This window comes from Homo sapiens, chromosome 13 (genome assembly GCF_000001405.40).
Source record: "Homo sapiens chromosome 13, GRCh38.p14 Primary Assembly".
NCBI lineage: Eukaryota > Metazoa > Chordata > Mammalia > Primates > Hominidae > Homo > Homo sapiens.
In genome coordinates, this window is record NC_000013.11 from 29,434,339 (window position 1) to 29,461,906 (window position 27,568).

The 27,568-nt window shown below is 42.8% G+C and overlaps 1 protein-coding gene across 12 annotated transcripts in view, besides 1 other annotated feature; it reads left to right on the forward strand.

The window, feature by feature from the left end:
- Positions 1-27,568, forward strand: part of MTUS2 (microtubule associated scaffold protein 2) — a 685,985-nt gene that overhangs the window by 614,376 nt on the left and 44,041 nt on the right. For all 12 annotated transcript variants that reach the window (XM_047430227.1, NM_001384605.1, XM_011535019.4 and 9 more), the window contains one exon: positions 5,645-5,711. In XM_047430227.1, the coding sequence (XP_047286183.1) occupies positions 5,645-5,711 (67 nt within the window). The remainder of the gene's footprint in view (positions 1-5,644; positions 5,712-27,568) is intronic.
- Positions 242-341: a silencer, noted in NCBI's record as "silent region_5221". NCBI's record gives its function as "represses an Ori minimal core promoter by ATAC-STARR-seq in GM12878 lymphoblastoid cells {active_cell/tissue: GM12878}" and the evidence as "EXISTENCE:reporter gene assay evidence [ECO:0000049][PMID:35858748]".

A 27,568-nucleotide genomic window follows, 5' to 3' on the forward strand; every position in this document is an offset into this window, starting at 1 on the left:
TGCTCTCTGCATATGCTGCTGCTCTCAGTTTAAATCTCCAAGACAGCCTTGCCCTGCTGGGTTAGATCACAGTGTTCTGTAATTGTTCATCCATTTACTGACTCTCTGGACGTCAAGCTTCTTGAGAGCAGAAATGTCTGCCAGGCACATAGTAGGCACTCAGTGAGTATGTGTTATTTGGTATACATTTCCTATTTCTGGATGAACTGGGGTGAAAGCACCTCAGATTTACCCAGCGTTCAGTTTTAGTAGTAAATAGCTGTTCTGTTGGTTTCTAATTTGAGGAGTGGCACAGGTGGCTGATGCCCAAGCAGAGAATCACACGGATGATGCTAACAAGGACAGGCGTTTTCACTTCCCATTACCACCAGCTTCACGGGGTAGCATCAACCATCAGAAGAGATAACGCCCATTGACCACACATGTTAAAATAACAGAGTATGGCAGGCTTGCCTGGGCTTTGGCCACACATCTGATTGCTTGAGGTTAATGGGATGATTAGTGGGTTGTCTGCTTTGCAAGGCTGCTCTAGCAAGGAAAAGTGAAAGGCAATATCCCCGCGAGTTTGCAAAAAGTCTTAGATTGGGAGCCATGTCTAAAAAGAAGTGTAGGCTTCACTGTAGCAGACTTGCAGGGGTATGTTTAAGGCAAGATGTACAGGGAGTGAGTTGGATGTTTCATAGGAGTAGCTTGTCTTGCATTCCATCTGTGAATAAGAGATAGACCACACCAGAATGAATGGAGAACTCAGCGTGCAAAGGAGAGCGGTACATGAACAAATGAAAGAGGTAGCTAAGAAGAAACAGCTGCTGTTTTGGGGCTTAGATAAATGTTCTTAAAGTGTCAGTTTCCAGTGAAGCCTGTCATAGAATAAACAGAATTTTAGAGGAGTGGCCTCGTTAGGCTTTGCAATTTCTGGACTATATCACCAGGACAGTTTGGATGATTAACACTGAGTTCTATTTTTAGCCCTCTTGAGTGAAAACAGGAGCTCATGTACTTGGCACTCATTAGGAATTTTCCACTCATCCCCCATTTAGAGAGGCACTGATCTAACCCTGGGCCCTTAGAGGAGGCCTTGATCATATTTCAGTCAACCCACAGTGTCATCACCCAGACCAGGCATAGTTTGGGGAATGGAGGGGAGTAATGACTTGAGATCCTTTCCAAGGGAGTCCCGGGTGTTCAACAGAACCTAAGGGCCTTGCAAGATCACACTGGATTCTGTTGAACCTTGATGGATGGAGGAATAACTTTTTGAGGCAAAGAGCAGTAAATGGAAGATTCCTTTAAGTTCACTCTTGCCTAAGGAACAGTGTTCCTGCAGTCACAGCTATTGACTCATTTCATTGCAGGGTGGTACTACGTCATTCTGGTTTGGCTTGCAGGAAGCAAAAAGTAACTTACTTTATGCAGAGGATTCATAAATTAGAAGAGTTGATATCATTTCAAAAACAAGCACTTATGGAGGAAGGGCTGTCGCCAAACTGCGCAGGCTGGCCTCAGCGAGCCAGAGCAGAGCTGTGCCAGCATCTTCAGCAGCAACATATTCAGAGGTCATCAGACAGCATCCTTCTAGAAGCTGGTGGGGAAAACTAAACAACTACTCTCTCAGAAGTTATAGCCCAAGTAAGCGATGCTGAAATGGGTCCAGACGCTGGAAACAGACTAATGTGCAACTCACAAAACAACACCCAGGACACAGACAGGCAGTTCAGGCTGTGGAGTGGGATGTGAATGCAGCCAGGGCATTCTTTCATTGAGACAGAGTAGTCAGGAGCGGACCCTGCCTCTCTCCCAGTCAGACATGAAAAGCTTCATGGTAATAAGTGCTCAGATCCAGGCCGAGGCTCAGTGCAATTTGGATCTTGTTGTTGCATCTATCTAAGCATGGCTAGGAGGGGAAATCTTGGTGTGCTCGTGTTTGATGAAGAGTGTGGACGATGGGTGGAAACTCCTGCCTTTGCCATTTCCTGGTGGGTTGTGCAGGGGCCAGCCACTTCACCATAGAGTCCCAGTTTCCTCCTCCATAAAGGGAAATAAGACCCGGGATGCTCTGGACAGTGTCTGGAGGAGTAAATGACATAAAGGGCTTACCTAACATTGTGCCTGGACTACAGAGAGTGTTTGGTGGTGGACAGCATGAATCACCTGTAGTAATTAGTAAATAATACTTAGCCAGAACTTGCCAGAGTTAAGTTATTTTCCTTGACATTTGAGTCATCAGGTTTGTTGCTTATTTTGGCAGCCAACCCTTCCTTGAAAAGCCATCTAATGACTATAGTTTGGAACTGGCTGGTTTTAGAGCCTGAACTTGCAAAAGGGTGGATGGGGTCATTTTCATTGGGTCTTCGTGATCTGTTTTAATAGCCTCTGCTTCCCCAAATGGAGATGGTACAAGGTCTCTAATCTCACTTCTATCTCCTTTCCACTTCCTTGCCTCTCTCTCTCCCCATCCCCTTCCTTCCTTTCTTTTCTTGCTTTTTTTTTTTTTTTACATTCTCACTTGGTTTCCATCAATCTTATTTGTGTTTCTCCTAAAGCAACAGATGGACAGGGAAGGCCTGACCACAAAACATCAGCATTAGGTTTTCACCAAAGTGATACAAGTCTGAAGGTCTTCATCAGCAGTCTCCCTCATAGTCAGCGCCATACCGAAGAGGCCTGTCCCTCTCATAGGGCCTTCCAGCCACTCCTTCCCCACAGGCCTGATTCTTCTGTGGCTGGGAGTGTGGACTGATTTGTTATGATGTGAGAGATCCCTAGGGCATGACTCTGATAACGTCCAGCAGGGGCCATGACAGGGAGCTGGGGGAGATGTTGGCTTTCAGTTAGAAATTAGAGTTGATTTGTTGTTTTTGTTATTTTCTGATTGTTCACTGCCTGGCCCAGTCTAAGTCTTTGCAACTCTCATTACTCTGAGAGTGAACACTGTATAATGCTATTTCTGGACTGATAAGCATACTATTTCAATTCTCTGGCTGTGTTTAGATAATTATTTAGGAACGTGTTTAGGAATTAGAGAATATGAGTATTCAGAACTATTCTTGACAGTAAAAGCAAGTTGGTTTTTCCACTAGGTTAAGATTATTTCAGGGTCAGTACCAAAATTAGTGCTCTCCAAAATACCAAATTTGCTTAACCTACAGGAACACATTGATTGTCATCTGGTCATATTATACTGCTGTTAGAATGAGTATGTAATCCCTGTGATCGGTCTGATTAGAACATGTTCCCTGTTCTGGCTTCTCCAATCTCTGAACCACGTCAAAAATTAAGCAAAATCAGGGCAGACCAGGAAGGTGCTTACAAAAACAGAGCATAAGGCCAGGCACGGTGGCTCACACCTGTAATCCCAGTACTGTGGCAGCCACAGATTGGACAGATTGCTTAGGCCCAGGAATTTGTGACCATCCTGAGCAACATGGTGAAACCTCGTCTCTACTAAAAATACAGAAAATTAGCTGGGCATGGTGGCATGCACCTGTAGTCCCTGCTACTTGGGAGGCTGAGGTGTGAGGATACATTGAGCCTGGGAGGTAGAGGTTGCAGTGAGCCATGATTACACCACTGCATTCCAGGCTAGGTGACAGAGCGAGATCTTATCTCAAAAAAAAAAAAAAAAGTATAAGACTGATATGCAAATTCTAAATGCATTTAGATAATTAATATGGAAAAGCACCTATTATATATAGGGTGTTATCCAGTTGCAAATGAAATAAAAGGAAACAGAAATATAATAACAACTTACACTTGTATGAGCTTGCTAAATGCTGGACACTAACTACATCACATACATTAATTTAATCCTCATGACAACCCTGCACAGTGGGTGTAGCATTAGAGTAGGAATATTGAGATACAGAGTAGGATTATGCAATAAAATACATGCTCTCAGATGTAGTTGTTAACTCTGAAATTCAGGGAAAACAAGGATGCTATGGGCTGGGATGGAAGGAGAGAACTTCAGAAATGAGATGGGAGGTGTCCGTTGGGTCTGTCTTAGTGTCTTTGGGATGCTGTAACTAAATGTTATAAACTGGGTGGTTTATAAATAACAGAAATTTATTTCTCACAATTCTGCAGTCTGGGAAGCCCAAGATCTAGGCTCCAGCAGTTTCAGTGTCAGGTGCGGGCCACTTTCCCGTAAACATTAGTACCTTCTGGCTGTATCCTCACACGGAGGAAGGGGCAAGGCAGCTCCCTGGGATCCCTCTAATTTTATTCCTGAGGGCTCCACCCTCATGACCTGATCACTTCCCAGAAGCCCCACCTCCTAATATCATCAGCTTGGAGGTGAGGATTTCAACATGAATTTTAGGGGGATTTAGGGGGACACATACCTTCAGACTATAGCAGGGTCCATTTCCCTCAGGGACAGATCTATTGCTGCATTTTCTTAAGGAAACTATTAGCTAATAATTTTTGACTCCCACAATGAAAATAGCTCTCAGTGTATTATGAAATAGAGTTTTATTTTTGGCATGATGAATATTATGACACAGCTTAGCAAATGCCCTCTGGATAACCCGAGACCCTCCCACCAACCCAAAGCAGCACACTTGTTCCCTGCGTCTAAAAACAGCACACCAGAAACAATATTGTGAGAACTGTCTGGTCACATTCCACACACGTCCTTCAGAGGTGCTGAAACCAAAGGCAACGGTGGTTAAGGAAGAAAGAACATTCTCAAGGCCCCGATGATACTCATGCTAGGTATTCGGTCCACATTTTACTCAAAATTCCCTCCCCGGAAATCACTTTGCTTCGAGAGTCCATGCTACAGAATGACAGAGACTTTCTTTGAAGGCCTGTAGTTTTGGTATCTCAAACTTGAAGAGAATTTATATAGCACATCTTTTCTGGTAATTGTGAGTAATAAAATCATAATATGCTGTTTATAGTGACTCAATAACGCAGATTACAAATTCAGCACATCTTCAACTACTTCCCTACTTTATATCAGAGGATGTATTTGATTTGAAAACAACTTAGCAGTCATTTAGTTATACGGGGCATTTTTTGCACTAAATGGTATTTCAAGCCTGAGATTTCCTTTTTTCATCTATTGATGCTGACAGTGGAACAAAAAACTTGGAAACCTTAAATATTGTTGTTGGTGGTATTACAAAGAGAAATGTTTCATGCTAAGCCTTCTGCCCTGATCTTTATTATTGATTAAGTAGCTAATCATGTATGGACAAAAGGGTAAGTTTAAAAAACAGTTGGTAAAACAAGCATTTGGCCCTCAGAGAAATATGGCACAGACTTTTTTAATGGTCGGAAATCTCATAGTAGTGATAATAATAAACACTGTACAATAATATATGGCAATAGATTAATGGGTGGGACACAAATTTGCAAAGAATTAATGCAGGATGATATACAGGAGTGTAATCTAGACAAAAACACAACCACGGGTATTATTAATATTATGATGCAAGCTTTGCCATTTGAATGGGATACAAATGAATGAGTCAGACTTGACTTTGTAAGTTTTTACATGCTTATATAATGTGAAAATTATCTCCTTAAGGACTAGACTTATAAATATTTGCTTAATACGATTCATTAATTAATCATGTGAAAGTGCTTATCTAGCATAAAACTAGGGGACTCTCGGTATCCGTTTTTGTTTTTTCAGAATGAAAGTGCCCTTGTGAAAGAAAAAGAGCTGTCAATCGAACTTGCAAACATCAGGGATGAAGTTGGTAAGTAGGGCATTGACAATGAGGAGCATAAAGAATGTCTTTTCCTGATTCCTGTGAATGTGTACCAAAAGCAATTATGCCTCCTGTAATAAGCCAGTGCAAACCTGCCTAGATGAATGAAGTATCTCACCCAGCACAGTGGTGGGCTGCTGTAGCCTTAGCGGGGAACCATAATTTTCACGTCTCCGTTGTTATAAAGACAGCTTCCTAACAGTTCACAGTGGAACTCATCAGGTCTTGACTGTGCTATTTGCAGATGGCAGCTCATACATCAGTCTGCACTGATCTATCTGGGTCCCCTCTTATAAAACGAGGTGCTGTCTGCAAGATGCAGATGTTCCATGGCTTCCTGCCACTGTCTACCCTGTCGTGAAATACTCTGTGATCTAGAACAAGGTCAAAAGCACAAATCTGGTTGGATTAAAAATACGAGAGTTCATGTTGAAATTTCTAATATTTGGCTGATGAAACGGTTTGGTTCAGTCTGGACCACGGAGACCTTACAAATAAAATGATCCCCAAACCCTGGGGATGTGGCTTTCACCGTAGGTCAAGGACAGGACCAGGTATTTGCCATATTCTCATTGCTTGATCCCATCTTCCCTCTCGACCATCTGTTATTCTCTTTCCCCAGGAATCAGTCAGCAAAGCTGAAATACACATGGTCTGTTCCTATTGCCCGCTATTCTCTTTACCAGTGAGCACTCCTCCTCCATCTAGTGTGGTCCTGGGAGCAGCCCACCATGTGCAGGTGTGGCTTCCTCCGTGAGTGAAGGGATTGGAGCAATCCCAGGTGTCCTTGGCAAGTAGCCAGCCATGCGGATAGGCAGAAGGCTGAACTTCCCCAGGGACCACAGGCCCTCAGGTGTGCAGTGGACAGAATAGTGAGATCCAAGCATAGCTTTCCCCAACCCTTTGTATTCCTCTCTCCCTTTGTTAAAATGTTTTCTTTTTCTCCCCTGTGAGTTCTGTGACTTCTTTTAACATTAAAGTAGGTCTGCAATGGTCTCTTCTCCTCTCTAAGGACAGCAGATGCTTGTGGGGAAACAACAAATAACAGGCCCCTTCCCAGACTTGCTAGTGTGTGATCCGGAGCAGCAGGACCCTGCTACTGCTGCAGGGACACCTACACCCGGACACCCCTTCTCCCCCACCAGGAGAAGCCCAGGGGTTGACGCCAGATGTAGGCTTCTTCCAACAGTCGGCTAGGAAAGGCAGGGTGTGAGGAACCCTGGAAAGCTGAGGTCCATGGGAGCCATATGTGACCTGGCTGGAAAGAGGAGCGGGAGGGGAGAAAGTGGCCCCACTCCCCGCAGACGCTTGCTGGAGAAGTCTCATCCTTCCTCTTTGCCATTGTTGTTGTTTTTATGGAGATTGAGCCTAATTTCTATTTGTTGGGTATCACCCCAAGCAGCATTCACAGTGACAGCTGCAGTGATGACCTCATTGCCAAGGCCTCCATGATTGAAGCCTCTGTGTCCCCATCTGTTTCTTCACCAATGTGGCCACGCCTCATGATCCAGATGCCCACATCTGGCCTCAAAGACCCGTGTTGAGAGTGGCCCCCACTTTTTCCTGAAGGGAAGCTCCTGGTACACTCACTGGTGACCCTGCCCAATGCCAGGGACTGTTTCTGTTCTTCTCTAAGGAAGGACTCACCACCCTTCACCCGTGGAGCCATGGGTCCCATGTGATTGGCTGCCCTCCCGTGCATGCACACATTGTACATGTGTGCACACACACATGCACACATGGGAGCCATCCTCCTCGATGACTCCCATGGTTCCTTTAAAAGGACCTTCTGCCTCCTTCCCCACTGATGGAAACTACCTTATCAAAAAGGATTTTTTTTAATCAAAAAAATCCTCACCTGATGAACTGCAAAGACCCCCTTCTCCACTCACCGGCTTTAGGGCCTGTCCTCAGTTGGAGGTGACTCTGAGGCCTCTCCTCCTGAGCGAAGCTGCCAAAGAACAGGTTTCACCTCTGCTGACCTTCAGGTCAGTTCCCAGGGGATGTGGAGGTGGAGACAGCTGGGAGACCTTGCCTCATCCCCTTCTGGAATCTGCCCCTCCCCACCTTGTAGAGGTAGAGACCCTTGGAGATGGCCCCTGATGACACTGTGGGGGCAGCTCAGAGGCCTAGGGTAGAGGTTCCAAAATTCTCAATTCACAGCGACCACAGTGTCTCAGTAATTTTTTTTCACAGTATCAAGGCCAAATAAATACCTCCCAGCTCTATTTAGAAAGGAGGTAAGTCTAAGCCACTTAAGTGTGTATGTTCTAACAACTTTGTGGCCGTTTGAAAAACTGAACATAAATGGAAAGAAAACAATATATTTTTGTTTTATTCTTAAGGAACCACAATGACTTGCTTGTGATTGGGCCCCACACAACGTCTCAGACCTTGGCATCTGATTGGATAAGGCTATCCTTGCATCTTGTTTCACACTGATTTTCACTGCATACTTTTTATCACAGCAGCAGCCAAAACCTCAGCTTTGCAAAGATATGATATCATGAAAGGGGATGAAGTGTGAGCTAGTGATGAGCTAATGTCAAAACTCTGAATCCCCCAAACCAGCACAGGGAGGCAGCATTGGTGTGTTTCCCTCGGAAGTATTGATAGAAGAAACCCTGCAGTGCCCTGTGATTTGCTGCAGTGGCCCAGGGTGCCTCAGCACACAGTTTGCAAACCACAGGCTTGAGGACACTTCCCTGCCCTCAGTGGCCGAGAGACTTGAGCATGAGGAAGGTTGGGTCTTCAGAGACTCAGGAACTGAAAGATGCTTATGAGTTATAGTTCAGCTAGAACAATGTGCAGTGTTACCCCCTGTAATTTATAGCTCCTGCTGCCTTTCCTCCTCTTTTAGCAAGATATGTTGGTCTTAGTTAAGATAGAAAAGCATTGAATTATATGAGGGCTGTCAAGTCTGTAGCCCTGAAATGCTATAAGCCAATCCCAGAGTATGCTTCTCTATGAAATAGATGAGTTTCTAGGGGGTTCCAAGGCTTGGCAGTTCTGAGCATGGGCTTTAGGTTCAGGTGGGGCGAGCTGGTAGACCTCTCTGTCCCACAAGTTCCCCTTCATAAAATGGAAAGTCAATTAAAGAAGATAATGCCGATGAAGCAGTCTGTAAAGGTGACTCTCATAACTATCCGGTGTGTAGCACCTTGAAACCAAAGATAAAAGATGGAAATTTCCACTCCAGGGTGAATTTCTCCCTAGAGAGACTTCTGCACTCCCCATGGGCAAGCTTTGGCTCTGGGGGCCCTGTGTCCCCTGATGCAATTGGGTTGGGTGCCGGGTGTGCCAAGTGCAAGGCTGCTTCTCTCTGTGCTTTCCTGAAGCTTCTAAATGCAGCAGGCGCTACACAAGGATTACATTGAGTTTTGGGTTGAAATCTTATTTGATTTCTGCCTAAGTGCCAAGAATAGAACCAGAATTACCTGCCAGATGAAAAAGCTACTGGAGGGAGGGCGGAAGGCCTTGGCAGCACCACCGCCTGGTTCCTTCAGCCCAGCTTTCATCCCTGGCACACACTTCAGCAGCAAGCACCCAGTCTGCAGCTGAGATTGCATTGGTGAGAGAAGAAAGACGGAGGGGAATGTGGGGATCAACTGTCAACCGTAAAGCGCATAAGCTCTGGCTTCTAGACATGCAGTGTATTCTCTTGATGGGAGAAGAGCATTGAACATGCAAACCTGGCTTACAGGTGGCCCAGAGAGGGTAGTATGGCCAGTCCCTTCCCCTTAGCACCAGTCCTGTCCTAAGTTAAGGCTCTTGTCAGCTGAGTCTAATGGGAGCTGGACGTGGAGGGATGTGGGGGGACATGGGGGAGATGGAATTTCTAAGGCTCTGAATTCAGACAAGGAAGAAGGGAAGAAGGTGCAGAAAGTCAGAATAGTTAGATGTATTTATTGCACATTCCAGAACAGGGCTGCCCTGTCTCCCAAATCTAAAAATTGCTGCTTAAACTGTTTCATATCCATTAAACTGCTGCCCTAAATTCCACCAATATCTGTTAATAAATACCCATCCATTGTCCCAACTTCTGAGGTGAATAAATGCAATCCAAAGCTTTAGCATCTGGACTGAGCACAGCGGCTCACACCTATAATCCCAGCACTTTGGGAGGCTGAAGCAGATGGATCACCTGAGGTCAGGAGTTGGAGACCAGCCTGGCCAACGTGGTCAAACCCCATCTCTACTAAAAATAAAAATTAAAAATTAGCTAGGTGTGGTGGTGGGTGCCTGTAATCCCAGCTAGTGAGGAGTCTGAGGCAGGAGAATCGCTTGAACCCGGAAGGCGGAGAGGTGACAGTGAGCCGAGATTGCGCCATTGTACTCCAGCCTGGGCAACAAGAGCAAAACTCTGTCTCAAAACAAACAAACAAAAAAAAGCCTTTAGCATCTGGTCAGAATCAGCTTTGTCTGTGTTCACAGGCCTGATGCATGTTAGACTCACCTGCAGTGCTGCCCTAGGCAACAGAATCAAAATATTTGAAGGTGAGGCCTGGGCCATTTTTTTTAAAGCCCCCTTATTAAGTACAGTGAAGTTGGAGATTCAATGAACTACACTGAAGGAACAGGGAGTTTGATTTGGGCCAGGGACAGGGTTGAGGCAGGGAGTATATCATTTGGGATAAGCCCAGGAGGGCAGGATCCCATCATGGGGGGCCCTGGGCAGCAAGGCAGGCCAAGGGAGAGTGGCACAGGTGGGTGGGGAAAAGTGCAGAAAAGGAAGATGCAAAAGACAAATTGTACCTGTTTGGAAATTATACAGAGGCTGGCCTGGTTTCTGAGAAATGACAGAGGATATCCCCTTCCTTCACTCCCGCCTCCTTCCTTTGCCTTTGCCTGTCTGCCTGGGGGACTCAGTCTTCTCAAGTCAGCTACCCTCCTGGTTAGATGGACTTTGGGGAGCTAAGCATGGAAAGTAATCCCCAGTACATTTGCAGACACTGCCCATTTATACCTTCCCATTTGTGACATCTCTGGTGGTATCACGACTGTATCTTCTAGAAGGTCTGTAGTTTGCATAGTGCCCTCTACCAGAGACTTGACTTGTGTCCTCACACACTGGAAGATAATCTCCAATAGTTTTTAAGTAGGAATTTCCTGGCAATTGATTTACAAATAAACCTTGAGGACATGCCCTAGTGAGTGCTGTTTTCTGATGCCCGGGGTGTGGAGGGTTTCTCCATACTGATGGCCAATTCTTCCTCATCAGCTGAGTGTCCAGTGATTCCATTCAGTTCTGACACTAAGGACCCAGTGTTAGTATAGACTCCCAGGTTGAGGGCTCAGTCCCACAAGACCACCTCCACCTCAGAAACCAGTCCTAAGTCTCAGTGGCCACCCAAGGTTCTGTCCAATCTGCTATAAACTCAGAGGTTGCCATAACTGCCTCCTTAGGTTTGATAATTCACTAGAATGATGCATAGAGCAAGGTATATGGCAGGGGGTGAGGTGGGGAGTTTCCATGCCCTCTGGGTGCACCATCTTCCCTGCACTTGGTATACTCACCAACCCTGAAGCCCGTTGAATCATGTTCAAGAGTTTATATAATTCTGGCCAGGCACAGTGGCTCATGCTTATAATCCCAGCACTTTGGAAGGCCAAGGCAGGTAGATCACTTGAGGCCAGGAGTTCAAGGCCAGCCTGGCCATGGCGAACCCCATCTCTACTAAAAATACAAAAAAAAAATTAGCCAGGTATGGTGGCAAGCACCTGTAATCCCAGCTACTCGGGAGGCTGAGGCAGGAGAATTGCTTGAACCTGGGAGGCGGATGTTGCAGTGAGCCAAGATTGTGCCACTGCACTCCAGCCTGAGTGACGGAGCAAGACTCTGTCTCCAAAAAAAAAAAAGAGAGAGTTTATATAATTCTATCCCCAGCCTCTTCCTCTCCCTCTGTCCCTGGAAGTTGGTGGGTGGGACTGAAAGTTCCAATCCTCTAATGACTTGTTCCTTCTGGTGACCAGCCCCATCCTAAAGTCAAACAGGGACCCTACCCTAAGTCATCGTTAGCATAAACTCAGGTGTGATTGAAAGGGAATCATTATGAGTCACAAAAGGTAATCCTACCACTCGAAAAACTCCAAGCATATTAGAGACTTGTGCCAGAAACTGGGGAGAAGGACCAAATATATTTTATACCACACCCAGACCAGGTCCTACAGTCATGGAGAATGATTCACTCATTTAGCGAGGTTCTGAGCACCTTGTATGGAGCAGGCAGAGAAGTCATAGGGTTTTAGGGCTGGTCCAGACCAGAGTGACAGTACCCTATCCATTTCATTTTAGGGATCAGTCTACAGATTTGTTTCAAAGATCTTGGCTAAAGCTGGGACATGTGCAAAAAGCACCAGAGGAAAAACTTTGCACACATTTCTCTTTCTATATATCAGAGTCTTCATACTTGTCATTTCATAGCCATAAAATGTTCTATAGTGCTGACAAACTACAGTAAGTTCCTTTTCTTTGAGCATTTGGATTTTTACCATTTTTTGCTGTTATGCAACAAGTATAGTGTTTGCAAATTACTTTTTACCTCTTTTGTTATTTTCTTGGGAATATATTCTCAAAAGCACTGACTGATAATTTTGGGAGGATTTTACATTTGTCCCAAGTGTATCTGTAATGCAAAACGTGTTGGATATTTATTCTGTAAATCAAGATTATGGTGGATTTCATCTTAGTGTTGCTAGGGTTGCCTTATAAAGAGGAAATTAAATTTTCTCTCTCTCCCTCCCATGCACACACACATACACACAAATGAGAAGAGACACATAATATCTAAGTGTATATCAGGGTGTGGTTTAGGACGGAGCTTTTATGGTTCAAGAGTAGAGTCCCTATGGAGTGGCTGAATTTGCTCATATTTGTGTTACATTGTACATGTTGATTATCCACAGTTCAAAAATCCAAAATCTGAAATGCTCCAAAATCCAAAACCTCTTGAGCACCGACCTGATGCTCAAAAGAAATGCTGATTGGATACTTTCGGATTTAAGATTTTTAAATTAGGGATGCTCAACTAGTAAGTATAATGCAAATATTCCAAAATAAAAAAAAATCAGAAATGTGAAATGCTTCTGGTGCCAAGCATTTCAGATAAGGTATACTCAACATGTGTTTCCTTGGAGACAGGGCACTCTGGTGTCAAAAATGAAATCAGATCAAGTTAGATTTTAAAGAGTATATGATGCATACAAAAGAATACGTCATGAACCGGGAGACCTCAAACCAAAAAATGCCACTACGGCTCAGTTTTATAGCAGTTGCAGCAGTTTCTAGAGCATAAAGGGGGAGTATTTTGACTTTTTTCATGATTGGCTGTCATATATTCTTTTTTAAGGCAAATAGAGCTATTTGAGCTGATTCATCTGTAGCTGATTGGTTTGATTTCATTGAATCATGCTTATAAAGACCAAAAGCTTACTTGTGTGTTTCGTTTAGGGCTAGGATAATTACCCGTTTGGGGAAATCAGGGTGACTTAAGTTTTGGTTACCTGGCTCTAGGTGGTTGGCCTTGGGGTATCTAAACTGTTGTCTCCATTTTTTTTTTTTTTTTTTAATGCTGGTCATAAAGTATCTCATCCTCAACTCACCCTCCATGGGTGATGGCTCTTGTCTGTGGGGTTTACGGGAATTGGGTGTGTCCCTGGAAAAGGCTTCCCCAGGTGGTGGTGGTTGTGGGGATTAAAGGGCATTTTGGATCCCCAGGAAACCAGAATCCAGCACCACACCCAGGGAGGAAAAGCAGAGATGCTAGAAATATATTTAATATTTGATTTTTTAATCACATTTAAAAATGTTCCAGAAAATAAAATATGACCCTTGATTTTTCTGATGGAACACCACACTCCAAATTTCAAAGTCGAATATTGAATAATTGAAGAGCACTGATGTATTTGTAAGCACTGAAATCGGTTTATAAGATGCTCTTCCTCAGAAAGGATTATCTCCTTTCGAGATCATATGCCTCAAGTTTTGTTTACTGCCATCAGGTAGATGTTTAAGGTTCTCTCCCTAGCCAAGCTGAGAGAGAAAATGACATCACAGTCACATTGTGACTGCCTTATTAGAAAACCTGAGTCTTAAAAATCAACATGAATTAAACAAACTCCACCAGACAGAAAACATGCAATGCAGCGGTGATACAATGGAGCCTTCTGGCTGGCACCCCTAGCTAACCCTGCTGCCCTGCCAGCCAGACTGGAAGGCCTGTTGATGTGAATGAACCAATGATACTTCCCCAGCAAAACACCTGTCACGCTCTTTCCTGGGGCTGCTCAAAGCTGTGACTATCTGAATGTGGTGTGAAATTGGCTCTTAACTTTGAAGTTCTCAATCACCCCAGCTGCTGGCTTCATTGGCCAGAACTAAGTCACAAGGCAAATTTAGCCACAGTGGAAATGGGGAAATGTCTTTTTTTTCCCCTTGGTGAGCTTGCCCAGATATTGCCCAATTCACCTGCAGCTGCCCCCAGTCCCCAGTACTGCTGGACAAAGCTGCCTCCTGTGCCTGTACCCCTTTCAGAGCTTGTGACAGCCTCTGTTCTCGGTGTCCCCACCCAAGCCAGGCCACTGGTTTTCATCTTCCTTCTGAGTTCAGATTTAAGATGGACTTTACTTTTTTATGTTTTCTGAACACTTTAAAAATACTTAAAATGAAATACAGTTGAAAAACAGAGTGCTCTTTTTTTTTTTTTTTTTTTTAAGATGGAGTCTCACTCTCACCCAAACTGGAGTGCAGTGGTGTGACCTCGGCTCACTGCCACCTCCGTCTCCCGAGTTCAAGCGATTCTCCTGCCTCAGGTTCCCTAGTAGCTAGGATTACAGACACGGGCCACCACGCCCGGCTAGTTTTTGTATTTTTAGTAGAGTTGGGGTTTCGCCATGTTTGCCAGGCTGGTCTTGAACTCCTGACCTCAAGTGATCCGCCCACCTCGGCCTCCCAAAGTGTTGGGATTACAGGCATGAGCCACTGTACCTGGCCTAAAGCACTCTTTCTAGCAGAGTTTCTCAGGTATTGTACAGAAATCCAAATAGTTAAATCCATGTTTTGATTAAGGTCAGTTTATTGAACTATAGCAAAACAATACCTGAATGTTTTCTATAATATAAAATAAAGATATAGAAAAAAATTTTGAGAGCTTGATATTAACGTATGGTAGGAATATAAGTTTGCGGCAGTGAGCACTGAATTGTTATTTATTATGTTCTTAAGTTATTAACTAGCATGCATTTTTCAGTATGCTCTCATTTATGACTAGTAGCCCACACATACACACACATACAGTGGAAGGTATTTGTGAGATGATTTACCATTCATGGTTATCCAAAAAAATTATCTTCTGGTCGTAATGATTATAATCTCTTATAGTTACACAGTGCTTAGTACCTCCAAGCTCTTCCATATGACATGTTTTATTTATTCAAACAGTAAAGGAGGTATTGGTATCCATATTTTATACATAAGAAAACTGAGGGTCAGAAAGAGTAAGTGATTTCCTAACAGCGTACAGCTGGTGTGGGACAAAAGTCTTAAATTCTTCCCACATACAGTATCTAAGTATCTATAGCATTCGCACCCTGACCACCAAGTGGTTTTTTTTTTTCCAATTTTTAATTTGGTAAATTAAAATATCAGATAAACAAAATAAAATAGTTGTTACTCCTAACTCCATATGACTTCTACATAAAACCATGATAGATGCTAGTATAAATCTGTCCAAACATGGATTATAACACAGTGTGATTTAATTGGTCCTAGACTATATCCATTAGGATTGGGTTCAGGCATGAATAACAAAATCCCGAAACAATGGTAGCTTAAGGCAGCTGTTCATTTCTCTCTTACATAAGAGTCAGAAGGTGAGCGCTGAGGAGCAGCTGTGGTTCTGCTCCCCGTCCTCGGGGACCCAGGCTCCTTACAGCCACTGTCCTATGACCGCAAGGTGGAGGACCATGATGCCCCCCGACCACGGTGCAGTGTGACACTTGGTGTGACAGTCATCACATCTATATTCCAGGTGGCAGGCTGGAAGAAGGAATGAACAAAGAAGCAGAGAAAGTGGGTCTGCTCTCTCTGGGGGGAAGTGTCCAGGAACTGCACTTGACTATACATCTCTTTGGCCAGAACTAAGTCACAAGTCAAATTTAGCCACAATGGAGCTGGAGAAATGTGCTTTTTTTCTCGTTGGTGACCTTGCCCAGATATTATTTTATTACTATGGAAGAAGGGGAGAATGTGACTAGCACCCTATGTCATAGGTCCTCAATTGCCTCAACACTTAGATGGGGATAGTAGTCCTGTCGTATGTAAGTATGAGGTAGGTGAGGGCAAAGGATCTAGCAGAATGTTTGGAAGAATAGTGGGTGCTCAGTGTGTGTTAATTCCCTTAAATTTCAGATTAGATTCTGCTGTTTCCTCTCTCGCCCAGCTTTAAAGAAGCTGACTCAAAATTAAGAAACCAAGAAACCAGCAGAAAAAATAACGAACCTTGGGATCACAAAAAGAATGTACGTTTTCTGATTCATAAAAATATCTGTTCTAAGCACACCAACTAAAAGACAGAGTTTGTCAGATTGGATAAAAAAAGAAAAGCAAGACTTGGCTACATGCTGCCTAAAATAAACCTGCTTCAAATATAAAGACACAAATAAGTTAACAGTGAAAGGATGAAAAAAATATATACTATACTAACATCAATCAAAAGAAAATTGGAATGTCTATATTCATATCACACAAAGTAGACTTCAGAGCCAGGAATATTGCTAGGAATGAAGTTGGCCATTACATAATGAAAAAGAGGTTCATTTACCAAAAAGACATAACAATACCAAATACCTACATACCGAACAATAGAGCTTCAAAACACATGAAGCAAAAATTGATAGAACTGAAAGGAGAAATAGACAAATCTACAGTTATGATTGGAGACTCCAGTACTCCACTCTGAGTAACAATAGAAAAAGCAGGCAGAAAATCAGTCAGCTGTAGAAGACCTGAACAACGCTATCTTCCAACTTGACCTTACTGACGTTACAGAATGCTCTATCCAACAGCAACAGAATACACATCTTTTTCAAATACATGTGAAACATTTGGCAACACAGACCATATTCTGAGCCATAAAACAAACTTCAACAAATATAAAAGAATTCAAAGTATACAAAATGTTTTGAACTATAATATAGTCTATAAATCAATAACATAAAAATATCTGAAAAAAAAACCTCCAAACATTTGGAAATTAAACAACATCCAAATAGCACATAGGTCAAAGAGGAAACCACAAGATAAATTAGGAAATATGTCAGATTAAATAAAAACACAACATATCAAAATCTGTGGAATGCAAAATTCTCTCTGATTAGCAGAGTTGGATCTTCTCATTCAATTTGCCCAACAATATTTAGAGGGCACCAGAAATATATACCAAGCTCTTTCCTAGGTAAGGTGATGGTGAGGTGAGGAGTATTATTTGAAAGAAGGTTTAGATTTAGTAGGTTTCGTGTACTGTCCAATTTTTTTTTTTTTTGAGATGGAGTTTTGCTCTTGTTGCCCAGGCTAGAATGCAGTGGCACAATCTCAGCTTACTGCAACCTCCGCCTCCTGGATTCAAGCAATTCTCCTGCCTCAGCCTCCCAAGTAGCTGGGATTACAGGTATGTGCCACCATACCCAGCTAATTTTTTTTGTATTTTTAGTAGAGACAGGGTTTCACCATATTTCTCCAGGCTGGTCTCAAACTCCTGACCTCAGGTGATCCACCCGCCTCAGCCTCCCAAAGTGCTGGGATTATAGGCATGAGCCTCCATGCCCAGACTACTGTCAGAAATTTGAGAGTGACAATATAGCTTCAAATAAAATTACTGATTTCCTTGCACAATGGACCACTCAGCATGACTAGGTCTGGGAATTACCTGCCCCTCTTATAGGAAAATAATATCAGTTCTAAGCTGGGAAAATTTCAAACCAGTGATGTCAACTGCCGTGATTAGATTTTATGCCAGTAAATATAATTTTCTAAAGTCATTTTAGTTTCTATCCCAAACAGGTGCTTACCCATGCATAGTAATATCAATACTGCAAACTCCCTTAAATGTACCAGAGACTGGGTTTGGTTGCCATGGAAAATACATTATCAGCTACAATTTCACAAAACTGCTACACTTTGAGAAAATAATTCATTCCAGTTGGCAGCAACATATTTTTTGATATTTATAAAATTCTTTTACATCTATATGCATAACGCTTTCTGGTTATTTTATGTGGAGGTGTTTGTTTTGTAACCCTTTAAAATGTTTACTCTTTTATGAATAAAGATAAAGATAACTTTTTTCTGATATATGCTATTATTTTTGAGACAGAGCCTTGCTCTGTCACCTAGGCTGGAGTGCAGACGTGCAATTGTAACTCCTGGGCTCAAGTGATCCTCCTGCCTCAGCCTGCAGAGTAGCTGGGACTACAGGTGTATGCTACTACACCCAACTGTGTATATATATATATATATGTGTGTGTGTGTGTGTGTGTGTGTGTGTGTGTATATATATATATATTTTGTAGAGACAGGGTCTCACTGTGTTGCCCAGGCTGGTCTCGAACTCCTGGACTCAAATGATCCTCCTGCCTCAGCCTCCCAAAGTGCTGGGATTACAGATGTGAGCCACTGTGCCTGCTAATGTTAATATTTTTAAATCTGTGAGTTTAATCTTTAACTAACCTGAACTGACTGGCTAGAATAGCTCCAATACCAAGGGCAACCCCTAAGTCACCCTGGGGACAAGCAGCTTCTGGAAACAGAGTCAGCTGCCTCCACTGGTTTGGGACTCCATAAATCTAATATTTAAATAGTGGTGTATAGTTTACAAAGCTCTTTCACACATTATTGCATTTGATCCTGACAACAACAGTAGTAGATAGGCAAGGGAGATAATACCACCATCAGTTTCACAGTAAATACATCATGGCTATACAGAATAGAAGCAAACCCCAAATCACATACCTATTAAGAAGAACAGAGCTGCATCCTTATCTCTTCCCACCATAACCATATCAGGCCATCTTTGCTTTGTAAGATCTAAATTGGTGTCTGAGAGAAGATAATAAATAGCAAGAAAAAGACATAACGTGTTACAGATATAACCTGGAAATGGCTGAAGAGCATTTGCAAAATATATGTTGTAAATTACAGACAATCACATGCAAATTATGCAAACATAATCGACTCAGTTGAGTTTCTCGTGAACCTCTTATTTTTCAGGATATGTTAAGCCTCTGGCCCAGGGATTAGCACAATGAATGTGGGGAATTCAACTGCTTCATTTTATAAACTTGATTGAACACAGATGTACCCTTTGCTATGCCAGGAGGAAAAGAAAGATGTGACCAGGGCTCTGAGCTCCTGAAATGCCTGTGTATTGGAGAGACAGACACATAGCAGGTCATTCATATCCAGTGTAGGGAGCAAGGTACTGGTGGTCTGGGAGTTCGGAGGAGGGTTTGTAACCCAGTCAGGGGTTCAGAAAAGGAGGTAGGGGAAAAACAGCTTAAAGGAAATGTAGGAGTCAGTGAACAAATGATTCTTCCATACACTTGATCAGTTTCAGAGACAGCATTAATGACAACATTGACTTAATCTCTCTACTGGGAAACAGGAAAAACAGTGAAGACAGTTCTGTTTCCATATGGCTATCTCTAAGCAGGAGGAGTAGAGCAAATGAGTTCATGTTTATGAAACTTACTATTGCTTGCATAAAAAGCAGGGCCGGTGTCTGGGATATGAGGCTCAAATGATTCTTGGCAGATTTTTTTAACATGTGATTTTTTTGTGTCATGTCTAAGCCATTAAGAATTAGCCTGATTCACTCAAAGAACCACTGATACCACCAGGGCCATGGTTAGGTATTAAATGTACTATCAGTCTATTTGCTTAATTTGGCAGATGATTTGAACAAATATATAAACTGCAGTGTATGTTTATATAGTAGTCAAGTCTCTTTTTGATAAGAATTGCACTTTTTCTTTTTCGGTCAAAGGACGTCAATCTGTTGAACAAGATGATAACTTGACCAATTCTGCATTGCAACTAATCATGTAAAGACCTAAGTAGGTGACTACTACTGAAGCCTAAGTTTCGGTATGAATCTGATGAAGAGCCAGGGCTCTTCAATACAGCTGTTTTCTTTTTACAAAGGTCCTGATGAAGAACATGGTCAGAGTTTAGCCAGTCAGAAAGATGATTCCAGGTGAGGTGTCATCTGGAGAGACCAGGCTGGCAGCTAAGTGCAGGCGCTTACCTTAGTGGATTCCCTGTGGTCCAGCTTTTTAAATTTTCCTTGTTAGTACACCAGGAATGGTTCTGACTTTCAGGGAAATACTTTTAACTAAGTTTACTGGAGCACGATGTAGAAAATCAAATTGCCAATTTATTAATTTACAATAAGAAATATGTCTCTTTGTAGGCAGATCTACCTGGGAGCAAGGTGATAGTGGTCTAGGAGTTTAGAGGAGGGTTGTTACCCAGTCAGGGGTCCAGAAAAGGCCGTAGCAAGGAAACGCAGGAATCAGTGAACAAATGATTCTTCCCTACACTTGATCAATTTTAGAAAGCCAAAATTGTAATCAGTGGCTGCTCAGTGGACCAAAGTCAGTCGTGTGCTGTATAAATACTAATGGCATCTTGCCGAGATACCCCTGAGGAGCTATCTGCATAACTATTTCTTTTCTAGTTCCTCAGTCTTTAGACATCCCCATGGGAGGAGAGGGAATCCTATTAGAATCACCTGGAAGCTTGTACCAACTCTTCATGCCCTGTCTTCTGCTTCTAGCCATAATAGCATAACTGTTACTGGATGTGATAACCACCAGTACACAGCTATAAAGCAGACCAAACATGAGGCAACTGTTTCTAAGCACTGCACATTTGACACCATAGCCTGTAATCCTTGGGAAAAGGGAAGCACATGAAATGAGTCAGCTTACTGCCTGGGGCTACTCACCAAACCTGGGCGTGGGAGGTGTCCAGGTAGTGGCTGCCATCTTGCTGGGCCGAAGAGGTAAACACCAGAGTACAGGGCAATTGAAGTGACTGGGAATTCCTCTAGCTACTAGTGGGGTGAGCACTGGACAGGAGTAAGCTGAGCAAAGGAGAGCCCCAGGGATTACATGGGGGGTTTCCCGTGTGATCTTAGCTGAAGGGTAGGCTGCACATATTCAGAGGGCCTGCAGGGGGCAGCTGAAGCAGGTCTGAGCACTGAGTGGAGGTTCCTCTGGTTGTGCAGTGCTGGGAAATACGGGAATTCCAGCCCAGTCAGGGTGGGAAGAGTCTCACCAAGTACTGTGAGCAATCAGTTGAGACCTGAGAAAGGCCAGTCTGTAGAATGACCATTATCTAGAACAAGTGTCTGTCTAGCGCGAAAGACAAATAAAACCATGTGTGACAGAATCAAAGGAATCCAGTAAGTTAACTGCCTGCCAGAACAACACACTCAATGCCCATTAAAGGAAGACAGTGTCATACCAACTCCCTGCAATACATCATCCACAATGTTGAGCATGCATAAACAAAAATAGACATACAAAGAAGCAAGGCTATAATCAAGGAAAAAAGTAGTCAGTAGAAATGGGTATTGAGGGTCAGGTATGTTAGCTCACACCTGAAATCCCAGCACTTTTGGGGGCCAAGGCAGGTGAATTGCTTGAGTTCAGGAGTTCGAAACCAGCCTTGGCAACATGGCAAAACCCCATCTCTACAAAAAATACAAAAATTAGCTGGGCATGGTGGTGCACACTGGTAGTCCCAGCTGCTCAGGAGGCTGAGGTGGAAGGATTGCTGGAGCCCGGAAGGTTGAGGTTGCAGTGAGCTATGATTACACCACTGCACTCCAGTCTGGGCAACAGAGCAAGACCCTGTCTCAAAATAAAAATAAAAATAAAGTTGTGTAAAAAAGAGAAAGAAATGGGTATTGAAATGCTCCAGATGTTGTAATTAGCAGATAAAAAAATGTAAAAGCTATTATAAACACGTTCTAGCACTTCTAGAAATAGAGGAATGTTATGAGTAAACAGGTAGAGAAGCACAACAGAGAAATAAAAACTATTATAAAAGAACCAAATAGAAATGTTAGAACCAAAAACAGAACCTCTGAAATAAATCATTCACCGATGGGCTTTTAAGCAGATTGGAGACTGCAGAAAAGAGTCAGTAAATTGAAGATAGATCAACAGATATTAGCCAATCAGAAGAACAGAGAGAAAAAATGCTTAAAAAATGGACAGTCCCAGTGATCTGTGGGACTATAGCAACCAGGTCTAACAGATGTGTAACTGAGTTTTCAGAAGGACAAGAGGGAGGAGATTGAAGGGAAAAAATACTTGAAGAAATAATGGGCAGAAATATCCTGAGTTTGATTTTAAAAGAGCAACCTGAAGACCCAAGAAGCTAAGTGAAACCCAAGCAGGATAAATGCAAAGAAAGCCACACCGAAGCACACCAGAGCCAAGGGGCTGAAAATCAGATATAAAGAGGAAATGCTAAAAAGCACCCAGTGAAGACACACATTACATGTAGGGGAACAAGGATGTAAATGACAGTTGGCCTTATCAGAAATGAACAGAGCCCAGAAGGCAGTGGAATGACATTTGTATTAAGTGATGAAAGAAAGAAAAAAAACTGTCAACCAGAATTCTATATCTTGAGAAAATATCCTTTAAAAATGATGGAAACTTAGATGTATAGGAAATAATTAAGATGGTCAAAATGGTAAATATGTGGATAAATATAAAAGACTAGGCCGGGCACGGTGGCTCACGCCTGTAATCCCAGCACTTTGGGAGGCTGAGGCGGGCGAATCACGAGGTCAGGAGATGGAGACCATCCTGGCTAACATGGTGAAACCCCGTCTCTACTAAAAATATATTAAAAAAAAAAATTAGCCAGGCATGGTGGCAGGCACCTGTAGTCCCAGCTACTCGGGAGGCTGAGGCAGGAGAATGGCGTGAACCCAGGGGGCGGAGCTTGCAGTGAGCCGAGATCGCGACACTGCACTCCAGCCTGGGCGACAGCGAGACTCCATTCAAAAAAAAAAAAAAAAGACTATTCTTTTTGTTGTTTTGAATTTGTTTATTTTTAAATGTTCAGTTTGAGAAGTTTGGGCTATGAATACATCTATGTAATCACCACCCAAAACAAGATATAGGATATTTACATTGCACCAGAAAGTTCCCTCATGCCTCTTTCCAGCCAAGCCCCCCTTCTTCTAAAGCAACTCCTTTCTTATTTCTATCACCATACATTAGTTTTACCTGTTCTTGGATTTCATATGGATAGTATATATTCTTCTGTGTCTGGCTGCTATTGCTCCACATAAGAGATTAATCCACAGTGCTGAGTGTATCTGTGGTTTGCTCCTTTTTATTGTTGACTAGCATTCCATTTGCATGAGTAACTATACACCACAATGCATTTATCTGTTCTTCTGCTGGTAGACATGTGGGTGGTTTCCACTGTCTTGCTATTATAAATAAGGCTGTTATGAATATCCTTATTACAAGCCTTTTGTGGACATACATTTTCTCATTTCTCTCAGGTAAATCCCTACATATAGAATTGCTGGTCATAGGTTAGATGTGAGTTTAACATTAGAGAAAACACCAAACAGTTCTCCAAAATGGTTGTACCATTTTGCACCCTCCCCAGCAATCTTCGAGGGCCCCAGTCCCTCTACATTCTTGCCAACATTTGTCAGTAATTTTCTTGTTGTTGTTTTAGTCATTCTAGTAAGTGTGAAAAAGTATCTCATGATGGTTTTAACCTGCATTTCTCTGGTCGCTAATGATATTGAGCACTTTTTTTTAAATGTAGATTTTTAGTAGAGAGAAGGTTTCACCATGTTAGCCAGGATGGTCTTGATCTCCTGACCTCATGATCCGCCTGCCTCGGCCTCCCAAAGTGCTGGGATTATAGGCGTGAGCCACTGCACCTGGCCGAGCACTTTTTATGTGACAACTGGCTATCTGTGTATCTTCTTTTGTGAAGCATCTGTGGCCCATTTTCTATAGTGCTATGTGTCTTCTTATTGAATGGCACCTGCTGCCTTCACCCCAGCCCTTGGGCTGTCTCATGCTTGCCACATGTCCCACCTGGCCCACCTCACTCCTTTGTGTTTCTGACCTGTCTTCTAAATCTCAGCACTTAAAGACTGACTCAGAATGGCCTAAGTCTACAGTCATGAAATGGAAAAATAGAAAGTAAATCTATTGCCAACATATAAAGTATTTTAAAAGTGCTGTTCTTAAGATAATTTTGAATGTCTGTTCCGCATAAAAGTATTCTAGGGGTTTTATTCAGGGATTCGTAAGCTATAATTCATGAACCCAGAGAATTTATAATCAGGTGAGAAAACATGCATGCCAGCAAAAGATTGTAACAGAAAATGAGGTAAGTGCTTTTTCCTTAAAATATTTGTCCTAGATGCTGTCTTAGGCCTTCACTTTCCATGATCTCTCTGATGATCTCATCTACCCCTACAGCTTTAACTACCACCTATAAACCACTCTCTCCCAATCTCTAGCCCTAATCTCTCTCTTATGAGCTCACCTCTTGGTGAACCACAGGCAGGACAACTCTCCATAGTCAAAAGTCTTATTTCCACCCACTGCACACTCCCCACCTCAAAAGAAAACAGAATAAAACATATCTCTGCTTCTCCTCCTATATGCCTATGTTAGTTCAAGTGCAGACTAAGCTTCTGTAACAGAAACCCCCAAACATAATGAAATAAATGATATAGAGGGATATTTTACTCCCATGTAATAGTCCAAAGTTGAGAGGCCTATGGGTGGCCGTGCTTCTCTGCTCCACAACGGCATCAGGGACTCATCGCCACTGTCCCTAGGTTGCTGTCCTCATGGATGGCTGAGAGTGATGCCCACAAAGGGCATATTTCAGCCTAAGGGAAAGAGAAAGAGAAAGCAAAGGGCCAGAAGTTTCCCTGTATGATCTAGAAGTTGCACACGTCACTTCTTCGCATCGCTTGGACCCAAGCGGAGTCACTTGCCTGCACGAAGCTTCCAAGGAGATTGGAAAATGGAGCCTCTAGTGGGGAAGCCATTTTGGTTAAAACTTGCAGACAATTATTCACAAAATAAAGAAAGGGAGATGAGGACGGCGGGGGTATTTAAAAGTTGAACCACAACTTTGTGGCTCAGTTATTGACATGCCACAATTTACAGAATAAGCTGATACTTGATCAGGGAGTCATCATCAGCTCTCTCCCTCCTCTCCTTCATACTTTACATCCAACAGGTCATCAGTTTGTTGATTATAATTCGGAAGTGTGTTCTAATTCTGCTTCTTCCTCGTTATTATTATAGTGACTTAGTCTTTCTTACTGCAAAAGCCTCCTCACTAGTCCTTACCCCTACCCTTGCCCCTAAGTCTACCCTCCTGACTGCCACCACTGGGGATACATTTGAAAAACAAATCTGACTTCCCCTCCCTGATTAAAATCTGTCAGTAACTAGAAACATGTTTTCCTCCAGCAGGAACACCAGTTGTCTAGCTGGAGGGTCTGGAGTGAGAGGGAAATTTACTTTTTATTGCATTCACTTTCATAATGCTTGAATTTTTTTTAGCATGCAAAAAATAAAAATCAAACCACTATGATAAAGAGATCCTTCTGTGACTTTCTATCATTCATAGGTTAGCTAGAATTCAGGCTTTTTAGCACAGCATCCTCAGACTGCTGTCTGCCCACCCACACACAACTCCTGCTACTCCCATAAGATAGCCACATGCCCCTTGGAAGTTCTGCCAACTTCTCCTGCCTCTTCCTAAACTGTTCTGTCCCTCTCTTCACTCCACCAACCTCCCCAGGCTTCCTGGAAGACTCAAGTCCACCATCCCCTCTGTCACACCCTCCCTGGGCCATTCCGCAGATGCTTGCAGACCACAGGTATATCATTCATAATCAAAGCTGCCATTTACTGAATGCCAATGAAATATCAAGGAGCATAAATGCATAGTTTCTGATGTTCACAATAACCCTGCAAGTTAGGTCATGTTATCTCTGTTTTACAGATGAGAATATTGAGGCTCAGAGAAACAGTCAATTGACTTGCCCGAGGCTAGAAGTTGTACAGAAGGGGGTTGACTTGAGGGTTATCAGGCTCCAAAACCATGCCTGTTTTTCCTACAAGTGCTGTGCCTCTCATGCATCCTCAGAGTTTTTGTTTTGTTTTAAACTCTGTTTCTCCACTCCAATCATAATGGCTGCCAATATTAGGACTGGATTTGTTGGTTCTCCCCCAACCCCCAATCCCGCCCATTACTCCCAGAGACACTGTCCTAAAGCGCAGGCATCAGCAACTTGTTCTTGTTTTTCAGCTCTCTCCTCCTGACAGGCTGGGCATTCAATGTTTAGGTCCAAGTTTACTTTCCTTCACTTTTTTCTTCCCATCAGAGCTTCACTGCAAAAGCCTCCATTTCTGCTGTGCCATCCATGTTCTCTCCCTTTTCTATCCTCAAGTCCTGTTTTTCCTTCTTAAATCATTCCCAGCAACAATGAGTTTATGAAGGGCTTCATCTGTCGTGTTGAGAAATGTATCCTCTGTTCTCAGATGATGTGAACGCACGAAGGACTTGACCAGATGGGGCCAGATGCAGACACACAAGGCCCAGGAAAGGCTCAAAGTGTGGTCCTTCTTTACAGTTACTCAACTTTTTTTAGTGAGATCAGGGGATAGACTGATTTTTTTCTTACTAAAAAATATTCACAGACACATTCATAGACTTAATATAGTTCCACTCCTTGAAGGAAAGTCAACAATCTAAAAAAAAAAAAAAAATTGGCAAAAGCATTTTGTATTTTTCTGTGGGATTTTTCTCTTTTCTTTAGTGAGTTTCTAAACCAGGTAGTTTCTTAGGGGTGTCTTAGTCCATTTTGTGCTGTTATAATAGTGTCTGAGACTGGAATTGATAAAGAACAGAGATTAATTTCTTACAGTTCTGGAGGCTGGGAAGTCCAAGGTTGAGGGCCTGCTTCTGGTAAGGGCCAACTTGCTGTATCATACCATGGCAGAAGGCAGAAGGAAAAGTGCAAGAGAGAGAGTGAGGGCAGGACAGAGAGAGAGAGAAGGGAAGGGGGGGTGAACTCATTCTTTTATCAGAAACTCACTCCCATGATAACCCTCTCCCATGATAATGACATTAATCTATATATGGAGGGCAGAGCCCTCATGAGTCAATAGCCCCTTAAAGGTCCCACCTCTCAACACTGTTGCATTGGGGATTAAGCTCCTAATACATGCTTTTTGGGGTGATACATTCAAGCCATAGTAGGGGGTCATTTAAAGGGTTTTATTTTAGATAACAAATCACTCCATCCCAGGAAGCAACCCTACAGTATACAAAGATACATACAAATACCTCACACATATACAGACAAAGTGCATATCAAAGTACATTCAACAGAAAGCAGTTGGAATGACAAGGAATCTTCTTCCGTTCCACTCTGTTCTCACTGGTGGAAACAGGACAATTTGCTTGTGGCCACATTTGCATGGAGTTGTGTGTAGACCCCAGAGTTCTCCAGAATATCAGGCAGAGTACTATCAGCAGGCAGAAACCACACCAGATATTCTACCAGTGAGAATTTAATATAAAGAATTGTTAATTAGGCATTTGAAAATCAAGAGAACTCTAAGTTATCATGAATGTAGCTGTAAGAAGCAGCTGGGATACTCAGGAAGAGGTTGGAATTATTTAATATTAAAACTTAGAAGCTTGGCTAAGGCGCTCTATGGACTGAATCTCAGACTGACAAGGGGCTATTGGTCTGCTG